We start from the raw sequence: 21624 nt of genomic DNA, 5'->3' as shown, positions 1-21624 counted from the left end.
CATTGGTCAGGAAATCTTCCCAGATTGTAGGGAGCATTGCCAAGTGGTTGGTGTACTGGATCTGAAAAGATTAGACTGGTTTCCCCACACAAATTTTTTCATGATTTTCCTAAACATTAAGGATTGATTTGTACAAGCTTTGTGTAATTTTAATAATTAGTCTGGTTTGACTAATGTAGTTATTTGATGTAAAAATGGTTGATACTTTGGAATTCTCAAATTCTAGGAATGTTTAAAACTGAATGTATCTTATTCAGCCTTGAATTTGAAAAATGGGGGCTGTCTATCCAGTATGGATTAGGGTATATATTTTCACTCCCTAAGAAAAATTGTTGTCCTCAGAAGCTTTTAGGAACTCTGGCAGGACAGCTTGCCTTTTCTCCTGCAAGAGGCCTGCTGTACGTGTGTTTAACAGTCAATCTGTTGTAGAAAGTGGGTGGTTCTTTTCCCCTCTTTAGGGGAAGCTGATGGCCCAGCCCTTTTGGGCACTCAGTGTTCTAGGAAAGTGTCACTGAAGTCCCTGAATGTTACACTATCAGTTTGCTTTTGATTCCAGGCCCTGATTGTAGATGTCATTGGTGTCATTTCTTTGCCCTACCAACCCTGAAGTTAGAAGGGGAAAGATAAGCTCATGAAGCAGCTTGAATGCTGTTGGTATGCTAGTCAGTGACATTGGAGTATCTCTGGGTGCTGCTGACTGCAGTGCCCTTTGATTTAGATCACAATGATGAAAGAACTAAAGCTCTTCTAGAATTTTATGTCTCCATTCTGGTTGGGTTTCTATATAAAGATGACCACATACAGGTGGAGTCATTGATGGGGCCTTACAAATGGCTGTATGATATAGTGCATGCTAAGTTACCAGGAAAGAGCTCTTGGAGGACTGTTTTTAAAGGGGTAAGCAAAATTTATTAGAGAAGATCAGCAAAGCTTATAATGAAGAGCATGCGTGTAAATTGGAACCAGTAGGGAGAAGATCATGAGTGGAGAAAATAGTTATAAAAGTTTGGAGGTGGAAAGTCCACTGAGTGGGACAGAGGCTATTTTGGGGGCATGTAAAAATCAAGAGCCAGGTATTCAGGTTGTTGGAAATCTTAGTATATTACTGTGTTTTGTCACTCACATGATGAAAATCAATAAGGATCCAGTATAGGTTACGAAGCTCAGGCTCTCATAAAGAGAGTGTTGAAGAGGCTTGTTATGATGTTCTTTGGAGGAATGATAGGGGAGGGGATCGTTGAAAATTGGGAAAATCTGAGAGACTCTATTAGTTTTGTTGCTGGGATTTAGGTGATAGCTTTAGAAAAAAAGTTGAGGGTTTGAGAGAAGAACTGATTGAGCTCAGATCAAATCTATATGTGTGTCTCATGGTCTCTAGACCTTACTTAGGATGATAATACTTAGGGGGAGATGAGAGCCTCTGAAAACTCTGAATTTCATTTGTGTCAGATCTTCCCATTTTCTATTTATGTGGAGCTGAAATTGGTACCATCTTTCAGATATTGTGTAAGTACCTGGCATGATTTGGTGGAGGTAAAAGCCTATTTGAATAAAATCAGTATGTGGCAGAGCAGCAGTTGAGGGTAGAAGGTTTTGCCATAACAAGCCCCTTGTGATTGTGTAATGTTCTTCAGAACTTCTTTCTTCCAGCTGCCATTTAGAAAGGAAATAAGCAGAGAGGACATTCCAAATTGTCACAACAATAGGAATAAAAGCAAGGAAACAGGCCAGGCAGTGGTGCCTCACTCCTGTAATCCCAGCACTTTGGGAGGCCTTGCGGGGAGGGATTGCTTGAGGCCAGGAGTTCAAGACCAGTCTCAACAACATAGTGAGGACCCTGTGTCTACAAAAAGTAAAAAATAAAAAATAACTGGGTGTGGTGATGCATGCCTGTAGTCCCAGATACTTGGAAGGCCGACGGGGGAGGATAGCATGATTCTAGGAGTTGGAGGCCACCGTGAGCTGTGACCACACCGCTGTACTCCATCCTGGGCGACAGAGTAAGAACTTGTGTCTAAAAAATAAAAGAAAAATATGAAAAAAGGAAGTAAATAAAATAATGCAACAGATTCAGAGGATGGTTATGGGTCATTTTGACCTTATGCAGGGTTTTGGCTTGAGAAGTTGGGAGAAAACATTAGGGATGGATTAGAAAGTTAAAAAGGCCCTTAAATGAAGGTCTGTATGTATACAATTGATGGTATTTGAGCAAGTGATAGCATGAGATGTTTTTGGGAAGTTGAAGCTAGCCATTATATAAAGATGAGCATGTTGGAGGAGGAGACAGATTTGAAGCAGTGTATATGATGATAAAGGCTTGCCCTGGTCTCATGGGAATTGGAGGATGAGGGGTAGATATTGGTAGACACTCATTTTAGTGAAGGTAAATTAGCAGTTATGGATAGATGACAGTGTTGATTCAAAAGCGAGGGGGCATGGTTCAGTGGCTACAAGAAGGTGCTCTGACTTATGATGGGGCTTATGTCCTGATAAACCCATCTTTAAGTTAAGTTGAAGATGTCATAAGTAGAAAATACATTTAACATACTTAACCTGCTTAACATCATAGCTTTCGCCTAGCCTGCCTTAAATCTGCTTAGAACACTTGCATTAGCCTATAATTGGGCAAAACCATCTAACACAAAGCCTGTTTTATAATAAAAGTGTTGAATGTTTCATGTAATTTACTGAATACTGACAGTGAAAAATAGAATGATGGTGTAGTTACTTGAAGTGCTGTTTCTACTGAATGTGTATCGATCTTGCACCATTACAAAGTTTAGAAACTGTTAAGTCAAACCATGTAAGTTGGGGACTATTTGCATACCTAAGGTTCAGATTCCAGGAAAAGATTGGGTGGCAGCAATGAGAGGAAAAGACAACTGAGAGATTAAGAATTGGTGTGGGGGTTGTATTAGTTTGCTTAGGCTGCCATAACAGAATACCATAGCCTGGGTAGCAAAAACAATAGAAATTTATTTTCTCATGGTTCTGGAGGCTGGAAGACCAAGATCAAGGTTTTGGTAGTGTTGGTTTCTGGCAAGACCACTGTTTCAGGCTTGCAGAAGGCCACCTTCTCACTGTGTCCTCACTTAGCTTTTACTCTGGGTATGTAAAGAAGGAGAAATCATTGGTGTCTCTTCCTTTTCTTATATGGACACCAATCCTATTGGATTAGGGCCCCATACTTGTGACCTCATTTATTCTTAATTATTTACACTTATGACCTCATTTAGCCTTATTTCCTGAAATAATTAAGGAAATAGAGTGAAAAACAGAGTGGTTGTGTAGTTACTTGAAGTACCGTTTCTACTGAAACTACTGAACTACACAACCCTGTTTTCAAATATAGTCACGTTGGAGATTATGGTTTCAACATGTTAATTTTGGGAGATACACTTCAGTTCTCTAACAGGGGTAAGGGTATTTAATTTCTCGAGGCATGAACAGAAATGATTCTTTTCCCCTGAATTTCTGATCTACAGTTTTAGTTTTTCATTCCAGAAGGGAAATGCTTTCTCATCTTTACGATTGGTCAAGACTCCTTGCTCCCACCCCTGCGATTAGCATTTGCCGTTTTCAACCTGGAGATTTCTTTTCCATTTACCCTGTCTGTACAGTAGTTTGTGACCACCTCTGCCTTTTAAAGTTGAGTTTTGACAATTGATATACAATTGATTTCTTCTCTAACCTCTTCAGTTTTATAGTTTGACCTCTTGTTACAAACTGCTTTTAAAGGCACCATGCTTATGCTTTAAAAGCCACTTAAACAGAACATATATTTAGAAGACAGGATGTTTTTGCCACAGATGTCAAGAGGGTCTTGGCAGTGTTTTCACAGAATGTCTGCTGGTGTCTGTGCAGCTCTGAGACTCTAGGCACTCTGTACTTAGAGAACATGTAGAGGTTAAGTGTTCATCAGGAGACCTGCGATGTTTGTGTTGGAAATACTAAGAGATGTGAGGTTTAGGATGTTTTGTGTTGTGTTGCTCTGTGTGCTCGTCCAGAGCAGACATCCTCAAGTCAGAACTTAATGAGGTATGCGGAAAATCACCAGGGGAACCGTAATATATAAAACATAAAATTAAAGCTCTGGGATGAATGGCTAATGCCTAGTTACATTAGATAGTCAGTTTATAGTTATTTGCTCCAGCCTAATTTGGCTGTCTATTCAAGGTAATCAGCAGAGAGTCAAACCTTTAACTTTTTCTTGAGGGACTGCAGTGAGCCTTTTAGCTTTCTTTACGTTGAGCTTTATGGTGACAGATGAGATGAAGGATACTATTTCACTTCCTTCAAGTTTTTAGTGTGGCCTCATTATATTTGAAAGTGAATTCCCAGAGCAGCCGATATGCCTGTAACTAATCCTAAGTAGAAAATCTATTCCAAAGCAGAAAATATATTTTGGCTTTACCTGTGCAGTCACAGACTGGGAAAGCGGGTATTGGGGTGTCTAATAATGTGGATTTAAATGGTTTGGTTAGAATATCTACTCTCCTTTCATCCAACCAGGCATTTCCATATATTTTTGTATTCCCTCTCTTTTTTTCTACCACAGAAGTTTAATTTCAAGATTTTCTGTCTCATCTCTCTCTGGTATTCATTACACCTGTTACATCTGTTTTGTTTCCAGTACAAAACAGCACTCGGACCTGCCTCTTTTACATTGGTCCTCTAACCAAAGAATGATTTAGGAGAAAATTTGTCATTTGTTGAAAGGTTGTTTTTTTTTTTTCCCCTTTTTTACCATCAACCTGTCATTTTGTGTATCTTAATGGATTATTCAAGCATTTATAGCCCTTTGAAAACTTTGGTTTCAGGCATTAGAAATTAATGTAATTTAGGAACATGGTTACCCCTTACCTTACCTCTGAGTGTCCTACCTGTATACATTCAGGAAAGGGTTTAAAAAGCATAGAACACTTAAAAACTTCAAATATGTTTTCTCATTTATAAGTGACATTTAGTAAAGTCTTGAAAGATATAAGAAGCTAACTGTTTTGCAACCATACTGTTTTCCTCTGGGCTGTCTTTAAGAATGTTTATTTACTTTTCTGGGGAAGGGAGATATGTGATAGCTTGTATAATACGATACATTATTTAGGAAGCAATTTCTTGCCATTCAGATTGTGGGTTTCGGATCATTTAGCTAAAAGATTACCCTGCTGAGTGCGTGGAAATCATCTTAAGACAAAATAAGGTTTGTGAAAATGAAAGTTGAATAGGAAGTTGTGCAGATGACCAAGCTTTATCATTCAGCAGGTGTCAGATTTTAAGTTGTGTGGATTCTTTTGAGAAATAATTAAAAGTTTTACCGAATTGTATTACTATTTTGAACTGTTTCCTCAATACTATGCCTCAAGAATTCAGTTGAGGACACATATGCATTTTAATACGTAATTTTGTATGTAGCATAAATTTAATAAATCACTTAATATATAAATTCACTATTTGTGAAATGACGGTCACTTCAGTAGGGTTAGGGGACATACATTCCACCTTACCATTTAGGAAAACTTGCATTTCTTGTGGCTGCGTCTAGTGTCTGGGCACTGGCCTAGACTGATATAGAGGGTCACTGACCCTCTGTATAGGGACTGAATAAGCAGTCCCTCTATATAGGGACTAATAGGAACTGAATAAGCAGGCCAAACTTCTATTCCCCATTTACTGAGTCTTTAACAAGGCCATCTAAAGTTGTAATGGTAAGAAGGAAAAAATTGGGGGACTATATTCTTACACTGCCCTCTATAAGAATACAGAAGCCGTTGGTCTCTTTTCTTTTGCTTGGATGGCAGTAGTTCCTCCTTACCCACAGTTTCGCTTTCCATGATTTCCGTTACCTGCAGTCAACTGTGGTTCACAAATATTAAATGGAAAATTCCAGGCATAAACAATTCACAAGTTTTACACTGCGTGTACTTCTGAATAGTGTGATGTACCCTCATGCTGACCAGTCAGGATGTGAATCCTCCCTTTGTCTAGTGTATCCATGCTGTTAGTCCCTTAGTATAGCCATCTCAGTTATAAGATTGACTTTCGAGGTATTGCACTGCTCGTGTTCAAGTAGCCCTTCTTTTACTTTCAGCGGCCCCAAAGCACAAGAGTAGTGATGCTGGCAGTTCTGACATGCCAAAGAGAGGATGTTAAAGTGCTCCATGTTCCCTTTAAGTAAAAAGGTGAAAGTTCTCGACTTAAAGAAAACTAAATACGCTGAGAGATCACATATACATAACTTTTATTACAGTGTACTGTTACAGCAGTTCTTAGTTATTGTTAATGTCTTACTGGGCCCAGTTTAGAAATTAAATTTTATCATAGGTATGTGTAGGAAAAAACATGGTAGGGGTCAGTTCTATCTGAAGTTTCAGGCATCTATTGGGGCTTTTGAGTGCCTGGTAAAAAGGGGACTGCCATATCTCATATATTTATTCCAATAACTGAATGAGATGATAGGATTATTTTCTCCATTTCCTAAATGAGGAAATCAAGACTTAGGATGGCAAATGCTAGAAGGGATCACCGTAGAGTTAACAGTTGTAACTACTAGGCTATATCCGATTGCTCAGCAAGCTCTGTTTATTGTCACTCACTTGTTATATTTTATATCCTGGTCCATTGGCTTTAGGTTAGTCAACTGTTATTTTTTCCTTATTTTCCTAAAATTCATACCCATTGGTTACATTAGCTGTAAAAGTCATTTTGTGCTCCCTTCTTACCTACAGTCTTAAAAGTAAAAATTTTCTAACCTGTAGTTCATTCTCTCAGCAAAATGATTCCAACCTGGTTTTTTGCGCCTTTTTAATCACTGCTTGGACTAAAGCCTGTGTTCAGACTTTCCCTGAAGTTAGTCTGGATCAGCTCTGCCTCAGCACCTCCACTGTTTTTGAACTTCTGTTTGCCCTCTAAAAGCTGGATGAATTCCCCAGTCTCTGATTATTTGACTCTTGTTTGTTTGGCACTACCTAGCTGATAGTCCACTTGTCTTACAAAAGTCTTTTACAGTGGTTCTCATCCTTGCTTGCAGATTAGAATCAAATCGGGTGCTGATAAAAATGCCAGTATCTGGGCCCTTAGGAGAGATTCTTATTTAATTGGTCTGGGGTGAAGCAAGATATTGGTTATTTTAGCTGCTTCATTGATGTGTGGTGCAAAGAGCATGGGCTCTGGAGTTTGTTAGACCCACATTGGCAGGTTTTGTGAGTTCTGGAAAAGTTAATCTTTTTTTTTTGTTTTTTTAAGCCTATTTCCTCATTTGAAAAATAGGGATGAGGCCAGGCGTGGTGGCTCATGCCTGTAATCCCAGCACTTTAGGAGGCTGAGGCGGTTGGATCACCTGAGGTTAGGAGTTCGAGACCAGCCTGGCCAACATGGTGGAAACCCATCTCTATTAAAAATAGAAAAATTAGCTGGGCATGGTGGCGGGTGCCTGTAATCCTAGCTACTCTGGAGGCTGAGGCAGTTTGCAGTGAGCTAAGATCATGCCATTGCACTCCAGCCTGGGAGACAAGAGCGAAACTCCGTCTCAAAAAAAAAAAAAATGGGGATGAAATGACCCATTTTATTAAGTTATTAGGATCACAGGGGGGTAATGCCCTTTAAAACGGCTTAGAGCATGGCCTAGCATATCCTAAATTAAATTAATAGCTGTCATCCTACCCTGTCCAACAATGTTGTCTTCCTTTTCCAAATGCTCATATTCTTTCTCACATTTGCCGTATATATATCTGTTGCCCTTTCCTCATGTTTGAATTCTTGTCTTTCCCATTAAAATTTATTTACAGGTCCAAGTTCCTCAGTGATGTTTTATTCCATTGTGTGCTTAAATAAAAGTGTACCTTTTATCTTTTGCAATATATTGGACATGAAAAACTTCCAAAGAGAAATAGAGAAACAGCATCAGAACTTCTTTGAATAGAAAAGTAAACTGGGTCATGTGGGTGTCACTTTAAAATTCCAGTGGCTTAGATTTTTAAAAGGCTTTCCTTTCTCTCTCTCTCTTTTTTTTTTTTTTTTTTTTTTGCCACTAAAATCTGTTACTGAGACTACTGCAGGTTTCCTGCTTATATACTTTTTGAACATTAATGTCTTCGTTTTCTGTCTTAACAGGCTCCTGGTCCTATCTGTACCTTGAAGTTTAATATTTTCCTCCAAGCTTCTTATAGCTTCAGGGTAACTTTCTGAGTGATACAGTCTATCTCCAGTAATAAAGGGCAGATCAACACCAGTTGAAAGGGATAACTGTCTTTCTATTTTTAATAGGTACATTTTTATTGAGCTGCATTTTTTTTTTAAAGTGTGAAAGAGACTCTCGCCCTCAAGTTTCATTGTTATTCTTCTGATATGTCAGTAATCACCTTTGGGTTGTTGTCATTTCAGTAGCTCAGGGTCAATATATATTGCTAAGTCATTCATGTCCTGTAAATTTCAGTATGAAATAAGCATTTACTGGTTCCTTGCCTGAATAGTCTGAGCCTATATAGTTTATCTCAATATAAATTAGATCTTTGTTGCTTACATCATTTTGATGAAATTAGGTATTATGGTTATAATTTTTTTAAAGTTCTCCTTGACTTTCCTGGTATGTTAAACAGCTTTTCTATGTTACTTTTTAAAAAATAGTGCACACGATGTGGGCTTTCACAGCAATTCTTCTGGAAGGTGACTTTTCTTCATTGTTAACAGAGATAAATACTCTGCATTTATCACAAATGTTTCAAATGTCCTTGGATAGACTTAGAAGTCTCTCAAGTTCAGCTAGCTTGAGACAGAGTACAAAATAGAATGTAGCATCAGTGAAGACCAGTCAGGCTGTTCTTGCAGTAGATCACTATGCCAGGTGACCTCATAGTGACCTTCAAGTACCGAAAAGTCTGGGATTCTTACTTATTTTACAATCTATTCTTTGGGAATGTAAATTCAGTGAAAAAGTTGAGATACTTTATTTTTGAGTGGGACCCAGTGTCTCTTCCTCTATCAAACCGATCAACTACTTTTCCCATTGTGTGTCCTCTCCAGTTTTGATCTGTTATTCTGCTCAGACTGGAGCTGGTCATATGCTTTGGAAATACCTGTTTACAGATTGATGCAGACCTGGAGCAGCTGCTCATTGACAGAATAGGTCTAGATTTCTATGTCGTGACTGATTCGTACTCATACTGGGAGTTTTGGGTTAACAGACGTGAGACAGTGAGGATTGAGCTATAGTGGCTTCAATTTGAAGGGGATTGTTTCCTCCCTTGTTATTTTTGTTTTCACACTATCCTTAAAGTAATGCAAAATTTGGGAGATATCTGATTAAAAATGTTTCATTTTGCCTATATTTGACTTGTAGGTGCAGCTGTGATAACTAAAAGATCCTAAGTCCTTTTTTGTCCTCCAGGACACTAAGTTAAATTCATCAAAATTCTCATTTTATAATATGCTTTGGTCTATGTGTGGGCTCTTACTTGGCTGCTGAAGAACATTGAATTGTGTGAACTTGTATGACTTTATCTTCATATCTTTCTTGTTCATCTTCCTTGATAAACACTTTGTTTTCATTTCTTGTGCTTTGATGAACAGTGCTGCTGTGAACTCTGGGAGTGGCTCCCTCTACTGCCTCAACCCTCATTGTGACAGTTGTTCCTTGATATATGTACTTCTCAGGGAAGTACAATAAGAAGTAAAACTGTACATTGTGGGAGGGGAATAATAGGTTTGTCAACTCTGTTTTGCCAAGGAAAGGCATTTAAGACCATCTGACACATTATCTATTATCACTGTCATTTCCTGGTTTGCTTAGATGCCCCAAAGTAGGATGCACGTAACTTCACAAGAGAAATTGAATATATTTCACTTTACAAAAAACTCATTACATTTCTTATTTTGCCTGGAACCAAATAAGATTTTTCCCACAATGTCTAGTGAAGTACTTGGCATTTAGGCCCAAGTCTACTTATTTTTCCCTACGGATATTAAGTGTTTCTTGTACATGATCAATTTACTGAATTCTGACATTCCACATAAATTCTGATTAAAAAGTTAATTGGCAGTGTGATGTAATGGGAGTTACAGGTTGTGCCCCACCTCTGCACCTACCTAGTTCAGAAACACTGAGCCAGCCTCTGGGTTTCATTTCCTTCATTTGATAAAAAGGAATGGTTGAGGATAGATGGGTTTCAAGATCTCTGTAGCTTAAGTTTTATCCATAATTGTAAAACTCTGCCTGCTGGGTTCCACATATTGGATGTAATTGCATCCCTAGGATGACATTCCTCAGGGTACAAATTATGTCTTATTCACCAGTCCCACTGCCCCCAACACTACCTAGTATGTGTGTGGCACCATCCTTTACCTTCCAAAGACCAAGTATTACATATATGTAGTCATGTTTATCTTTAGATCTCAGCTTAAATGTCACTTAATCTGCAGAAGGCTTTTCTTCTGATCACTGTCCCAGTTTTATTCCCACAGCATCCTTTTTTCCTTCATGGCATGAACTGCAATTCTAAACATTAGCTTTATTCTTTGGCTTGTTTAATATGTCTCTCCCACTAAGTTCCCTTAGTACCTGTCTTGTTTATGCTATAGTCTCTGTGCCCAGCATTTTTGTTTTTGTTTTTTGAGACGGAGTCTTGCTCTGTGGCCCCAGGCTGGAGTGTCGTGGCGCAATCTCGGCTCACAGCAAGCTCTGCCTCCCAGGTTCACGCCATTCTCCTGTCTCAGCCTCCTCAGTAGCTGGGATTACAGGCGCCCGCCACCATGCCCGGCTAATTTTTTTGTATTTTTTTTAGTAGAGACGGGGTTTCACCGTGTTAGCCAGGATGGTCTCGATCTCCTGACCTCGTGATCCACGCGCCTCAGCCTCCCAAAGTGCTGGGATTACAGGTGTGAGCCACCGCGCCCGGCCTGTGCCCAGCATTTTAAAAATGATTGCAACTATGTGTACTTTGCCCTTTATTTGAACCTATGACAACAGAGAGCCTAGTGCACATGGCTTTTCTCTGTTCTGAGCCTGATTTTTTTTTTTCATCTGTCATCCAGATACAATCTCTCCTTCTCACACTTACCAGATTGCGTCCTGTGTTGTGGTTCTGCATGTGTTCCCTTCTTTGCTTAGACAGTAAGTGGGAACTCCTTATCTGAGTCATCTTGGTTATCCAGCACAGTGCCCTGCACATAGGATTTGCATGTTAGAATGAATGCAGATGTCTGTCCTTCAAATGTGTTGATATTTGAGGCATATCTGTTTTCTTCTGTGTCCTTTTAGTGGTGACTAAAGCCTTATTTGAAAGCTCCATCTCCAAGAATTCCTGATGCCTTTATTCAATAATGAACCTCGTTGTTTTCAGGTTAGTGCATGGCCACTTTGTAGTTGTGCAGAATTGTACCAGTTTTTCATGCTCTCTGAAGTTACATGTTTTTCTTCAGTTTAACTTTCGGTTTTCCTTGGAGTTACTCCATTTAAGTGGCTTCAGACTGTGAGCTGAGTGAGATCTTGCTGTCTTCCAGTCTTGGCACCTTGAATATTTACTTTTGTTTACAAGCTAGTTTCTCTTTGGCTGTTTTTAATTTGGAGGACTAAAGTGTAACAAATGAGGTAAGGATAATTCTGCTTATTAATGTCTTATCTGGAAGTATGATGACTTCACGCCTCCGGAGAGTAGAGTTTGGCTACCTTTCACAGGTATTGGAGTAAATTCCAGGTATGCTTATTGCCCTTTTGAGATAAGAGTTTGTTGGATGCATAGAAAATGAAGTGGGCTCTCACTCTAGCCAAATAGTTACCAGTTAGTATCTTGGGATATCTGCAGACTCAGCTGAGCTCTCAAATGGGAGAGGGGATGAAGGCACAATGAGCAACTGAGATGGGAAGCTGGGATTGGAAAGAGAAGAGGCTATCAAAGAAATTTGTCTTCCTTCCTGGTTTCACTTCAGCTCACTTCTTGTGCCCCGGGGTCTCCATCCTTAGCTATGCTTCCACATCGGGCCCAAGTCTGTTTACCAAACCTTGGTGGTCAAGCAGGCTGGTAAATAGTTTATTAATAAATTCAGGTAGAATCGCCTCATTGGCAGAATATACCAAGAAGTATTTGAGCATATAAAGTGGTTTTCTTGGTATGGGATGGAACGTACGCTAATTGTCTTCAGGCTAAATCTTAGTTCATGGTTGCAGCTCTTTAAAATGGCTTAAGCTCTTGCATGGTTTTTTGTTTTGGTTTGGTTTCTTTTCGTTTGTTTGTTTGTTTTTTGGAGACAGTCTTGCTCTGTCACCCAGTCTGGAGTGTGGTGGCAGGATCTTGGCTCATTGCAACCTCTGCCTCCCAGATTCAAGTGATTCTCCTGCCTCAGCCTCCTGAGTAGCTGGGATTACAGGTGTGCACTACCACACGCCTGTAATTTTTTTTTTTGTATTTTTAATTTTTTGTATTTTTAATTTTTGTATTTTTAGTAGAGCTGGGGTTTCACCATGTTGGCCAGGCTGGTCTTGCATGTTTTTGAGAATGCTAAGACTCTGCGTTAAGCACTATGCTAGCCTCTGAGCAAATGCTTACGATGTACTTTGATTTTGAATTTTTCAGGAATAGCTATAGCGTGTGATTCTTAAATTGCCAACTAAAACATCACCGTCTGCTGTTCAGTAATAAAAGTGTTTTGACTTGGTTATCTGCTTGGACATTTTTATGTTAAAGAAACTTCTTGGTCGGGCATGGTGGCTCACGCCTGTAATTCTAGCACTTTGAGAGGCTGAGGTGGGAGGATCCTTTGAACCTAGGAGTTTGAGACCAGCCTGAGCAACATGGCAAAACCTCGTCTCCACAAAAGATTTTAAAAAATTAGCCAGGCGCGGTGGCTCACGCCTGTAATCCCAGCACTTTGGGAGGCCGAGGCGGGCGGCTCACGAGGTCAGGAGATCGAGACCATCCTGACTAACACGCTGAAACCCCGTCTCTACTAAAAATACAAAAAATTAGCCGGGCGTGGTGGCGGTTGCCGGCTACTCAGGAGGCTGAGGCAGGAGAATGGTGTGAACCCGGGAGGCAGAGTTTGCGGTGAGCAGAGAATCCCGCCACTGCACTCCAGCCTGGGTTGCAGAGCAAGACTCCATCTCAAAAAACAAACAAAAAAAGATTTAAAAAATTAGCGGGGTGTGGTGGTGTGTACCTGTGGTCCCAGCTACTCAAGAGGCTGAGGTAGGAGGATCCCTTGAGCCCAGGAGGCTGCAGTGAGCTGTGATCACACCACTGTACTCCAGCCTGGTTGGTGACAGAATTAGAACCTATCTTCAAAAAAAAAAAAAAAAGGAAAGAAAAAAAAGAAACTTTTCTTAAATATGCTATTCTGCTGTATGTTTTGGTGGCTTAAATATTTGGTACTTGGAACGTAGTATATTGTAGAATTCCTGATCTGTTTGGTGAAAACATGACCTTTTGAGGGAAAGAAGAAAGCAAAGCCTGGAGTGTGTGTGTTTATGTGTATCTTTGACCATTAATTTGAATTTCTCAGGTTGCAGTGATAATGGCAGTTTGACCTTACCATAAATTAAAGATGTGTTTTTAGGAGAGCATGAAAGCAGAAAACAATTCTCAAGAAGGTTAGTGCCTTGAGAACAATACCCTACTTTGTATAGTGCCTGAAATTTTTTATAAGCCATTCTTTTATCTGTAATTTGTTATAACTTATTTCTTTTAATAACCCTGTTCGCTAGCAGAGTGAGAAAAATCTGTTCTTAATAGATGAGGGAAGTTATGAACATAACAAACTTGTTGAGGGTCACAGAATCATTAAGAAATAGATTTAGGACCAGCAGTGATTGTCTTTGGACTTTATGTAGGCTTTTACCTTCGTTCTAGTCTTTTTTTCCATATCCCTGTTAGTTTGTTAGCCTGGGACTTGGGAATGAGATAATTGCTTCTCTGAGGCCACTCCTAACCCTGACTGTTTTATGTGAAAGCTTAAATTTGCTCCAAATTTCCTGAATGCTACATAGTGTTGTGACTTGCCCTTTTTTGGCCTTAATTTACCTGGCCATGTCTTAACTCTCCTGAAGAGCTGAACTAAAATCTTCATTTTGGTATAAATGGATGCCTTAGGTTCTGATGTTTTAGTTATGGAAAATAGTGCTTATGTTTTGGGTGCTGCTGTGTGTTACACATGATCATTTGATTTGAGTTTAGACCAAATACTCTTATTTCTTTAACCTTGACCATTAATGAAGAATATAAGAAGAATGTTGGTATAAGCCAACATAGTTATGGATGTGAGCTAAGAGGTGTGTTTAAGTTTTACGAAGGTCACAGGAAATTGACCACAAATTTTCTAAGAAAATAATTATAAAAAGACTCATAGGATTCAATATTATAAACTTTCAACAAATTGAAAATATGCTTAAAAAGCCATTTTCCAAGTTTATTAAGTTGGAAATTTATCTTAAGAGTTAATAACAATTGAATGTCCAGGGGGAACCCTAAACACTTTTTAGTGTTTATATTTGAATAAATGTGAGAGCTTCACATTCTGTTTAGAAAATTCTCTGTTGTTAGACTGCTTTCTTATTTTTGAATCTCATGCATGAGATTAGGAAACAAGTGTAAAATGATTATTATAATTTACTATTAATACCAACTGTTGATCTGTTCTCAGTTCAAAATGTTTTATAATACAGTCCTGGAAAAGAGAATCAACCTAAGTTATGTGTGAGGTTTTGTAGAATAGATGATATTCTCTGCAGATTTAGGAACCCATACTTTACTTTGCAATAGAGATTGGACTTGGAAGTTCATGAAGTTTTTTTTTTTTTTTTTTTTTTTTTTTTTTTTTTTTTTTTTTTTTTTTTTTTTTTAAGGAACACTATCACCGATTCTGGGGAAAAAAAAGAAAAAGCCAATAGCATTAACATAATACTCTGCAACCTTAAAGGTTTGCAGTTGATAAGGAATAATTTAATGTGCCCTATAAAACCCACAGTTTTGGAATTGCTCCAGCTTTTTATTTTTAGCTGTGGCTTTTAGTTAATGAGAAGAGGTGAAAAGTATAGTTTCTCCTGGTCTCTGCTTGAAATCACAGAAACTTTCCGCGCTGTGAAAGTTCAGGGGATTTTGGGAGACCATCCTTATGAATTGGATGGTGGTGTCTCCTCCTCTTTGTTCAGGCCTCTTTTTCTAGAGAATAGCAAAGAATGGTGAGTTGATTACCTTCAGATTTTAACCAAACTGTAATTGCTCTGATATTGTCAAATGCACCTAGGGACAGTGTTGCAGTATTTTGAAACCTTACACAGGAAACAAAATAGCAGCTTTGGAGGCAGGGAAGAATGCATTAGTTTCTGAGTCTAAGGAAGCCAGAAGGAAGCCCGCCCACCCACTCTCTAGCTTTCATATTCCCTCAGCCACCTCCCAGATCTTCCATTGCTGTGCTATAAATAGCCAGTGTTTAGGCAGGGCGTTGCTTTCTTCCCTTGCCTTTGAAGACTTTCTGCAGGCCCTGGAATTGCCTTTGTTCCTCTGTCTGCCCACTTTGCCAGTGTGAAGCAGGTTTTCATGGGATTCTACTGGGGTAAACCAAAAGCAGCAGAAAAAGTGTGAAGTAAGACCTCTTATTTACCCTTCAGTTCCTTCCCCACTTACCTCCTGTTTTACCTCCAAAATACAATTTGTGGTTTGTCATGAGACAGTTTTTAGAGCGTTAACCTGGAAATTTAATGTTAATTCAAGGGCTTCTGGTGTAGTGCCAGGTGATTTTTATCTTTTTTGTGTGCTGCCCTACTCACTGCCTCATCCTGGGGATAAAGCACTTCATTGGCCCCTCCTCTTCTTTCTCATAGCAAAATATTTGATTAGGTTTGAATTAACTGTCTCAAACTCAGCCCCCAGAAGGGACAGGATATACCTAATTCTTTGTGGACAGGATGACTTTCTAATCCAAATCCATAGTAGTATAAACAGGCCAAAATGAGTTATTTAGAGTGCTTTGAATGTCTGTGGCAGTCATATTAGGATGTTTAGTGACACAGACTTGATGCTTTTTTGCCTCATTTTTTGTTATGCATATTCATTAGAATATTTTCACAGATGATTAGGTCTACAATTAAAGATCCTCAGTTTAGATGACCTTGGAAAACCCCCTCCCTCCCCCAGTACTCTGACATTCTGAACCTCTCCATCATGGTAGAAAAGCATATACTCTTTAGCACATTTGACATTTAGGCTATGATACTCTTTTACTTAAAATCCAGCCCTTGCAGGGGCCGGAACATTAAGGCTGTATTGGGAGAGCTGGAAAGAAGGCACCCCATTTATAGGGCAACCTGCTGGCTAGTAGCTCTGGGAATATGGACTCTTGCCAAACTTTATTTATTAAGCGAAATCAGAAATATAGTTTTATGAATGTGAAATTGTTACATTGGTGAAATTTTAAATGTTGAACACTACTGTTTTTGTTTGTGTTTTGTTTTGTTTTTAAGGACGTTGGAGAAACCACGTAACATGTTTTCAGGCTAAATCTACCCGCTAGCTGCCAGTCCGAACTTTGGCCTGGAGGTTGAGGAGAGTTACAGAATCTGCTTGTTTTTGTCTATCCCTTGCCACTTTTCCTTTGTCCTTCTTTTCAACCTCGCACGTGATTTATTTAAGCAGAGTCCATTGTTGGCTTTTTATTTTTTGTTTTTGCAAGCTGGCCCTCGGATTCTGCCATTTATTTGAATGCTTAATACTTTAAGTAGACTTTTGACTCCCATCCCCTCAATGTTTTCTTCCTGCTGGTCATAGCCACTCTGGGGGGTTTTGTTCACCATGCCCTTAGGTATATGATGTACTTTGTATCAGGAAGAATGTTCAGAGTAGGCCACCTGGCTGCTGCTGTTTATGTTGGCCATGTTTATTAGAATAGGTCTTAGTTAATGTGTAGTCAACCTTGGTGGATAAAAAAGATTCACTTGTTTCCATTTTGGTTATTTGTAATGTAGGAGGCCAGCTGTCTTTATTCTTGGCAAGTAAAAGTATGGGTCATTTTCCAGTTAGAGCAAGAAGTTACTTAAGAGAACTAACTGCTGTCTTGGTAGCCAGCGATGCAGAGCAGTTGTTCTTCCTTAATTGATGGCAGGCAAATTTGGTCTAATTACTGTTCCAGTGCAGTGGAAGTTTTCTTCAGTTTTAATTTACCGTTCTTGCTTCTACCTCATGATACCCCCCGTTTCCCACTTTTGCTCTTTAGAAATGGAGAATAAAGAATAGTGTCCTGATGACTCAACTCAATTCCAAGGCCTGCAGTCTCCAGATCTTTGTTGTGAATCCTGGGTTTTAGCCTGACAAAGGATGGATGTAAAAAGCATGCTTGGGTGGGGCAGAAGGGTATAGAAAGGGCACGTTTCTAAACCATCTATTTCCCTTATAGTGATTCTCAACTAGAGACTGGCACTCAGAATCGTCAAGGAACTCTTTAAAATAGTCTAAGATAGAGCGATAGAGTGGCATTTGAGTAGATCTACACTCTTCACAGAAGAATTGAAAAATTTGGGTTCAGGGTCATGGTTCCCTTTAGAAGAGTGGTTTAAGGATCTTTTTGTTCATACCCATCTCAGATTAAAGTAGTGGATGATAGCGAGAATTTCTTTTTAGCTCGATCTGAAAGAGATTGCAGTCCTAACTGCTGTAGACTATATTGCCTGGTACTTAGTAGGTACTTCCTGAAAGTTTTATCAACAGTTAAAGACTATTTACTGCTAAGCAATTTACATGTTAAATCTACTCTACTGAGAGTTCTTTTAAAGAAACTTGTACTTTACATAGGATGAAGTTGTAACAGGAAATGGGTACCTGGAAAACTCTCTGAGCAATTCTAAATCAGGAAAACTTCAGCCTGCTCTTCTTTATAATTTAAAATTTTCTTAGTGAGGCAGAAGTCCACTTTAATGTTCAGTATCAATGCTGTGCACAGTCTCCTGTTGTTTAGCACTTTAAACACTGGGAAGCAAAATGCCTCATTTCTTCTCAAATACGTGTCCACACTCAAATATTGAAGTTAGAAGTGGTAGTTTCCATAGCAGCAGTGATTTTGCCATCTTTTTTTTTTTTTTTTTTTTTTTGATAGCAAACTATTTAGCATAGGTCAGGTAGAGAAGGGATTATTTCTGGCTGCGGGTTCTTAAAGGTTTCCTTGTGTGCGTTTGACTTCTTTGGACACCTTCTTAGGACACAGGTGTGTTTTGGAGAAGTTCCGTGAGGGGTGGAATGAGTGGGGTTTTGTACATCTTTGTTTTCCCAGCATCTGAGCACAGCGCTTGGTACATGCAGTAGATCAGGAATGTTGCTTTTCTAGCCTTGGGGAGTTTCTTTACTCCTCTTTTTGGTATTCTACACACCAGACCTTGGCTGTGTTGGGGAGAGAGTATAAACTTCAGGTTTCCTCTTGATTTTACACATTGGTGATGAGATTGGCTTATTTTGAACTGTGAGATGGTGACAATGGAACACACCTGTCCCTGGTTCCTCCCTGAGGTTTATATTGTTTTAACAAAGGCTTGTAGCTAGGAATTAAAAAATGCTGATTCCACTTGAAGTTTGAGCTTACAATATGGAATTAGTAGCTATATGCGGAAAGAGATGTGTGTGTTAGTGGTAGGACTTGACAGCCTACTTTCCCCTTTTTCCCCTTGACAGTCTACCTTCCTCTTTATAAACAACCTGAGATGACTTTGGCTGCTCCTCCAGCTATACAGGGTTGCAATGGAAATTTTTCCCACTTGGCAGGGAACATAAAACCACATGGATAAGTAAGGGGGTTGTTTTTTACTTGCCACCTTGAATCACAATTCATGGCATTCATTCTCTTTATGGATCTGTCTTGATATTTTTTACTGGGGAGATAAAGGTGAGTCAGGCATATAGGAGCACACAGAGTTATCTGGTCCAACTGAGTGGTTCACAGAAGGCTTCCTCGAGGTTTGTCTGCTCTCTTCCGGTGCTGAGGATGTTTCCATGAGGCAGGAGAAGAAAGGTAGGCTGTTGCAGGTGGAGAAAACAGGTTGGGTGACACTGGAAAACACTGGGAGTGGGAAGAACTACTGGGAGCTTGTTAGAGCTTGTGTATATGATGCGGGGGTGCTGGGCATGTGGATGAAGAGGTAGGAGCTCGGTCAAGTCAGCTGCCTCACTAGGGAGCTGAGATGTTACTTCATAGGCAACGTGGAGTGAGCAGAGCTTTAAAAGAGATAGTAGTGGAGTGCTGCCCATTATTTTAGTTAGATCCCCACAGCCGTGGAATGGAGGAAGGATTGGAGAAAGGGGCAAGCCTGGAAATAGAGAGATCAGCTAGGAAGCTCTAGATGGGGTCTCAGCACTGATTTCAAATCCCAGTTTCTCACTTAATACTTGTGTGAACTCTTGAAGTTTTGAAATTCTCATTTGTAAATTGAAGAGAATGTAATATAGCTTATAGTGCATAAGATTTGTTTTGGAGACATGGTCTTGCTCTGCCACCCAAGCTGGAGTGCAGTGGTGTCCTCCAGCCTTCCAAAGTGTTGGAATTACAAGCGTGAGTCACCTTGCCCGCTCCACAAGAGGATTAAATAAGATTTTGTTTGTAAATATCTAGCTTGAGACTGGCATGGAAAGAGGAATCAATAATTGCTAGTTTCTTTCCCTTGCCATTTATTTTTACTTTTAGTTGTAGGATTCGTTGGATTCTCCAGAAGGCAGGGAGATCATCTGAACTTCTTTACTGTAGCAAAAGATACTCAAATCCCACGGAAAGTTCCTTTTCTATTTTTCTTGTAATTAAATGTGATTTTAAAGCCACAGTTTAAATTCAGGTCATTTTTGAAGATCATGATAGGAGAAAGATGATAGGAGAGTGTATGATTTTGTATGAATGTAGATACATGGATCATTTGCCTGATCCATTAATTGTGGAAACTTGATCCCATGTGATCTCATAATGTACACATTATTAATCTAGATTCTAGGGTATAATCGTGGATTAGATTTCTACACTCTTGTTTTCTCTGTATTGTAAATCTGAATATAAGTACAAGATGCCTGGATCATCTTTGGAGTTCTTAGCCAGAATAAGGAGGTAGCAATTTCTAATCTTATTAAAATTCCAAGAGCCTGAGCATAAGCAGGCTCAAAGAGGATGGGAGATGTGTATTTTTATGGGGAGTTGGGGAGGGGGGTGGGGGTCACACACTTTTAAAAATAAGGTAAATTAAAATAGGCAAGGCTGTAATTCTAATGTGAAGTACTTGGGCTGTTAGTACTCTGTATATTTAAACATAGTCTTTGGAGGTCTGGGGTTAAAAATTGCAGCATTGCAAGTAAAAATTTTTAACTTCCTTAGTCACCGTTTGTGACTGTGCTAAATGTAGTTTAACATAGCATCTGCTTCAGCAGTCCAGGACAGGAATTAACAGTCATGATTAGGAAAAGTCTGCATACTGTACTTTCTGTCCACAGTCTTTCCTTTCCATGTTAAAAGGCTCCCAACACGACTCTGCAGCCTTGCTGTCCATTTAGATGTGGGGGGAAGAAAAACTGACAGGCTTAATCCAAAAGACAGATAAGCAAATTTTCTTTCTTTCTTTCTTTCTTTTTTTTTTTTTTTTTTTTTTTTTGAGATGGAGTCTCTCGCACTTTTGCCCAGGCTTGGGGTGCAGTGGTGCGATCTAGACTCACTGCAAGCTCTGCCTCCTGGGTTCATGCCATTGTCCTGCCTCAGCCTCCCGTGTAGCTGGGACTACAGGCGCCCGCCACCAAGTCCGGCTAATTTTTTGTATTTTTAATAGAGATGGGGTTTCACCGTGTTAGCCAGGGTGGTCTCGATATCCTGACCTCGTGATCTGCCCGCCTCGGCCTCCCAAAGTGCAGGGATTAGAAGTGTGAGCCACTGCGCCAGGCCCAGATAAGCAAATTTTCTATGCTAACATTTTAAGAGACATCTTGTTTTGTCCAGCAATAATGATAATACCCTCTGTTCACTTGGCACCTTAGAGTTTGTAAAGTGCTTTGACATTATCAGACAAAATATGTATATGTAATTAAAGCTTTTAAAGAGAACAGACCCCTTTACCTGCTCTTTTCCTTCCTAGAGTGGAAATAATTCAAAGGCTAATGCTTTTGTGATTTGAGTCTTAAGAATAATTTCCTGTTAAAATGTAGCCTGTAATTGCGTATGTGCTCCCTTCTCCTCTTCAGCCTGTGGGGGATAGATGTTTCTCATCAACACTTGGGAATATGTGTGTATAATGTATATACAGGTTATACATATACATATATGCTCATACACTTGCTTCATTTTTCATCTGTAACATGGGGGTACTTGCCCCACCTACTTTTTGAGATCCTTAAGCGTTCGTTTCAAATGTGCTTTACTTGAATGATACTAAGACAACTTGCAAAGCGGGAAGTCTGACAAAAGTAGGAGTAAGAGGAAGCTCTATGCTGGGTGAGATGGTGAGGTCATCAATCTAAGCATATTGACCCCTTTCTCTGTTAGGGGGTTGTTCGAAATTGGGTGTATGTGCCTGATGTGGATATAAGTGGATAAGGTCTGAGGCTAAGAAGGGCCTTACCTGTTCTATAGTGTCTAGCATTAACTTTTTTGAAAAACATTATTAACTCTTATATACATTCTTATGTAGCAGATTAA

The 21624-nt window shown here is 39.4% G+C and overlaps 1 protein-coding gene across 55 annotated transcripts in view; it reads left to right on the top strand.

The window, feature by feature from the left end:
• The window catches only part of ELAVL2 (ELAV like RNA binding protein 2), a 160498-nt gene that overhangs the window by 55798 nt on the left and 83076 nt on the right, over positions 1 to 21624 (top strand). For 3 of the 55 annotated variants that reach the window (XM_047422915.1, XM_017014415.2, XM_047422914.1), the window contains exon 1: positions 11257 to 11333. The exons of 44 other annotated variants lie outside the window; for them this stretch is intronic. In XM_047422915.1, the coding sequence (XP_047278871.1) occupies positions 11298 to 11333 (36 nt within the window). In that variant the 5' untranslated portion in view covers positions 11257 to 11297. Of the gene's footprint in view, positions 1 to 713; positions 898 to 11256; positions 11334 to 14825; positions 15568 to 21624 lie in introns of those variants that run through there. 8 more of the 55 variants (XM_011517786.3, XM_005251393.4, XM_011517780.4 and 5 more) reach the window with 5 other exon arrangements.

This window comes from Homo sapiens, chromosome 9, assembly GCF_000001405.40.
Source record: "Homo sapiens chromosome 9, GRCh38.p14 Primary Assembly".
NCBI classification, from domain to species: Eukaryota; Metazoa; Chordata; class Mammalia; order Primates; family Hominidae; genus Homo; species Homo sapiens.
Note: the sequence above shows the minus strand (reverse complement) of the source record. Positions and strands in the feature narration are given on the sequence as shown.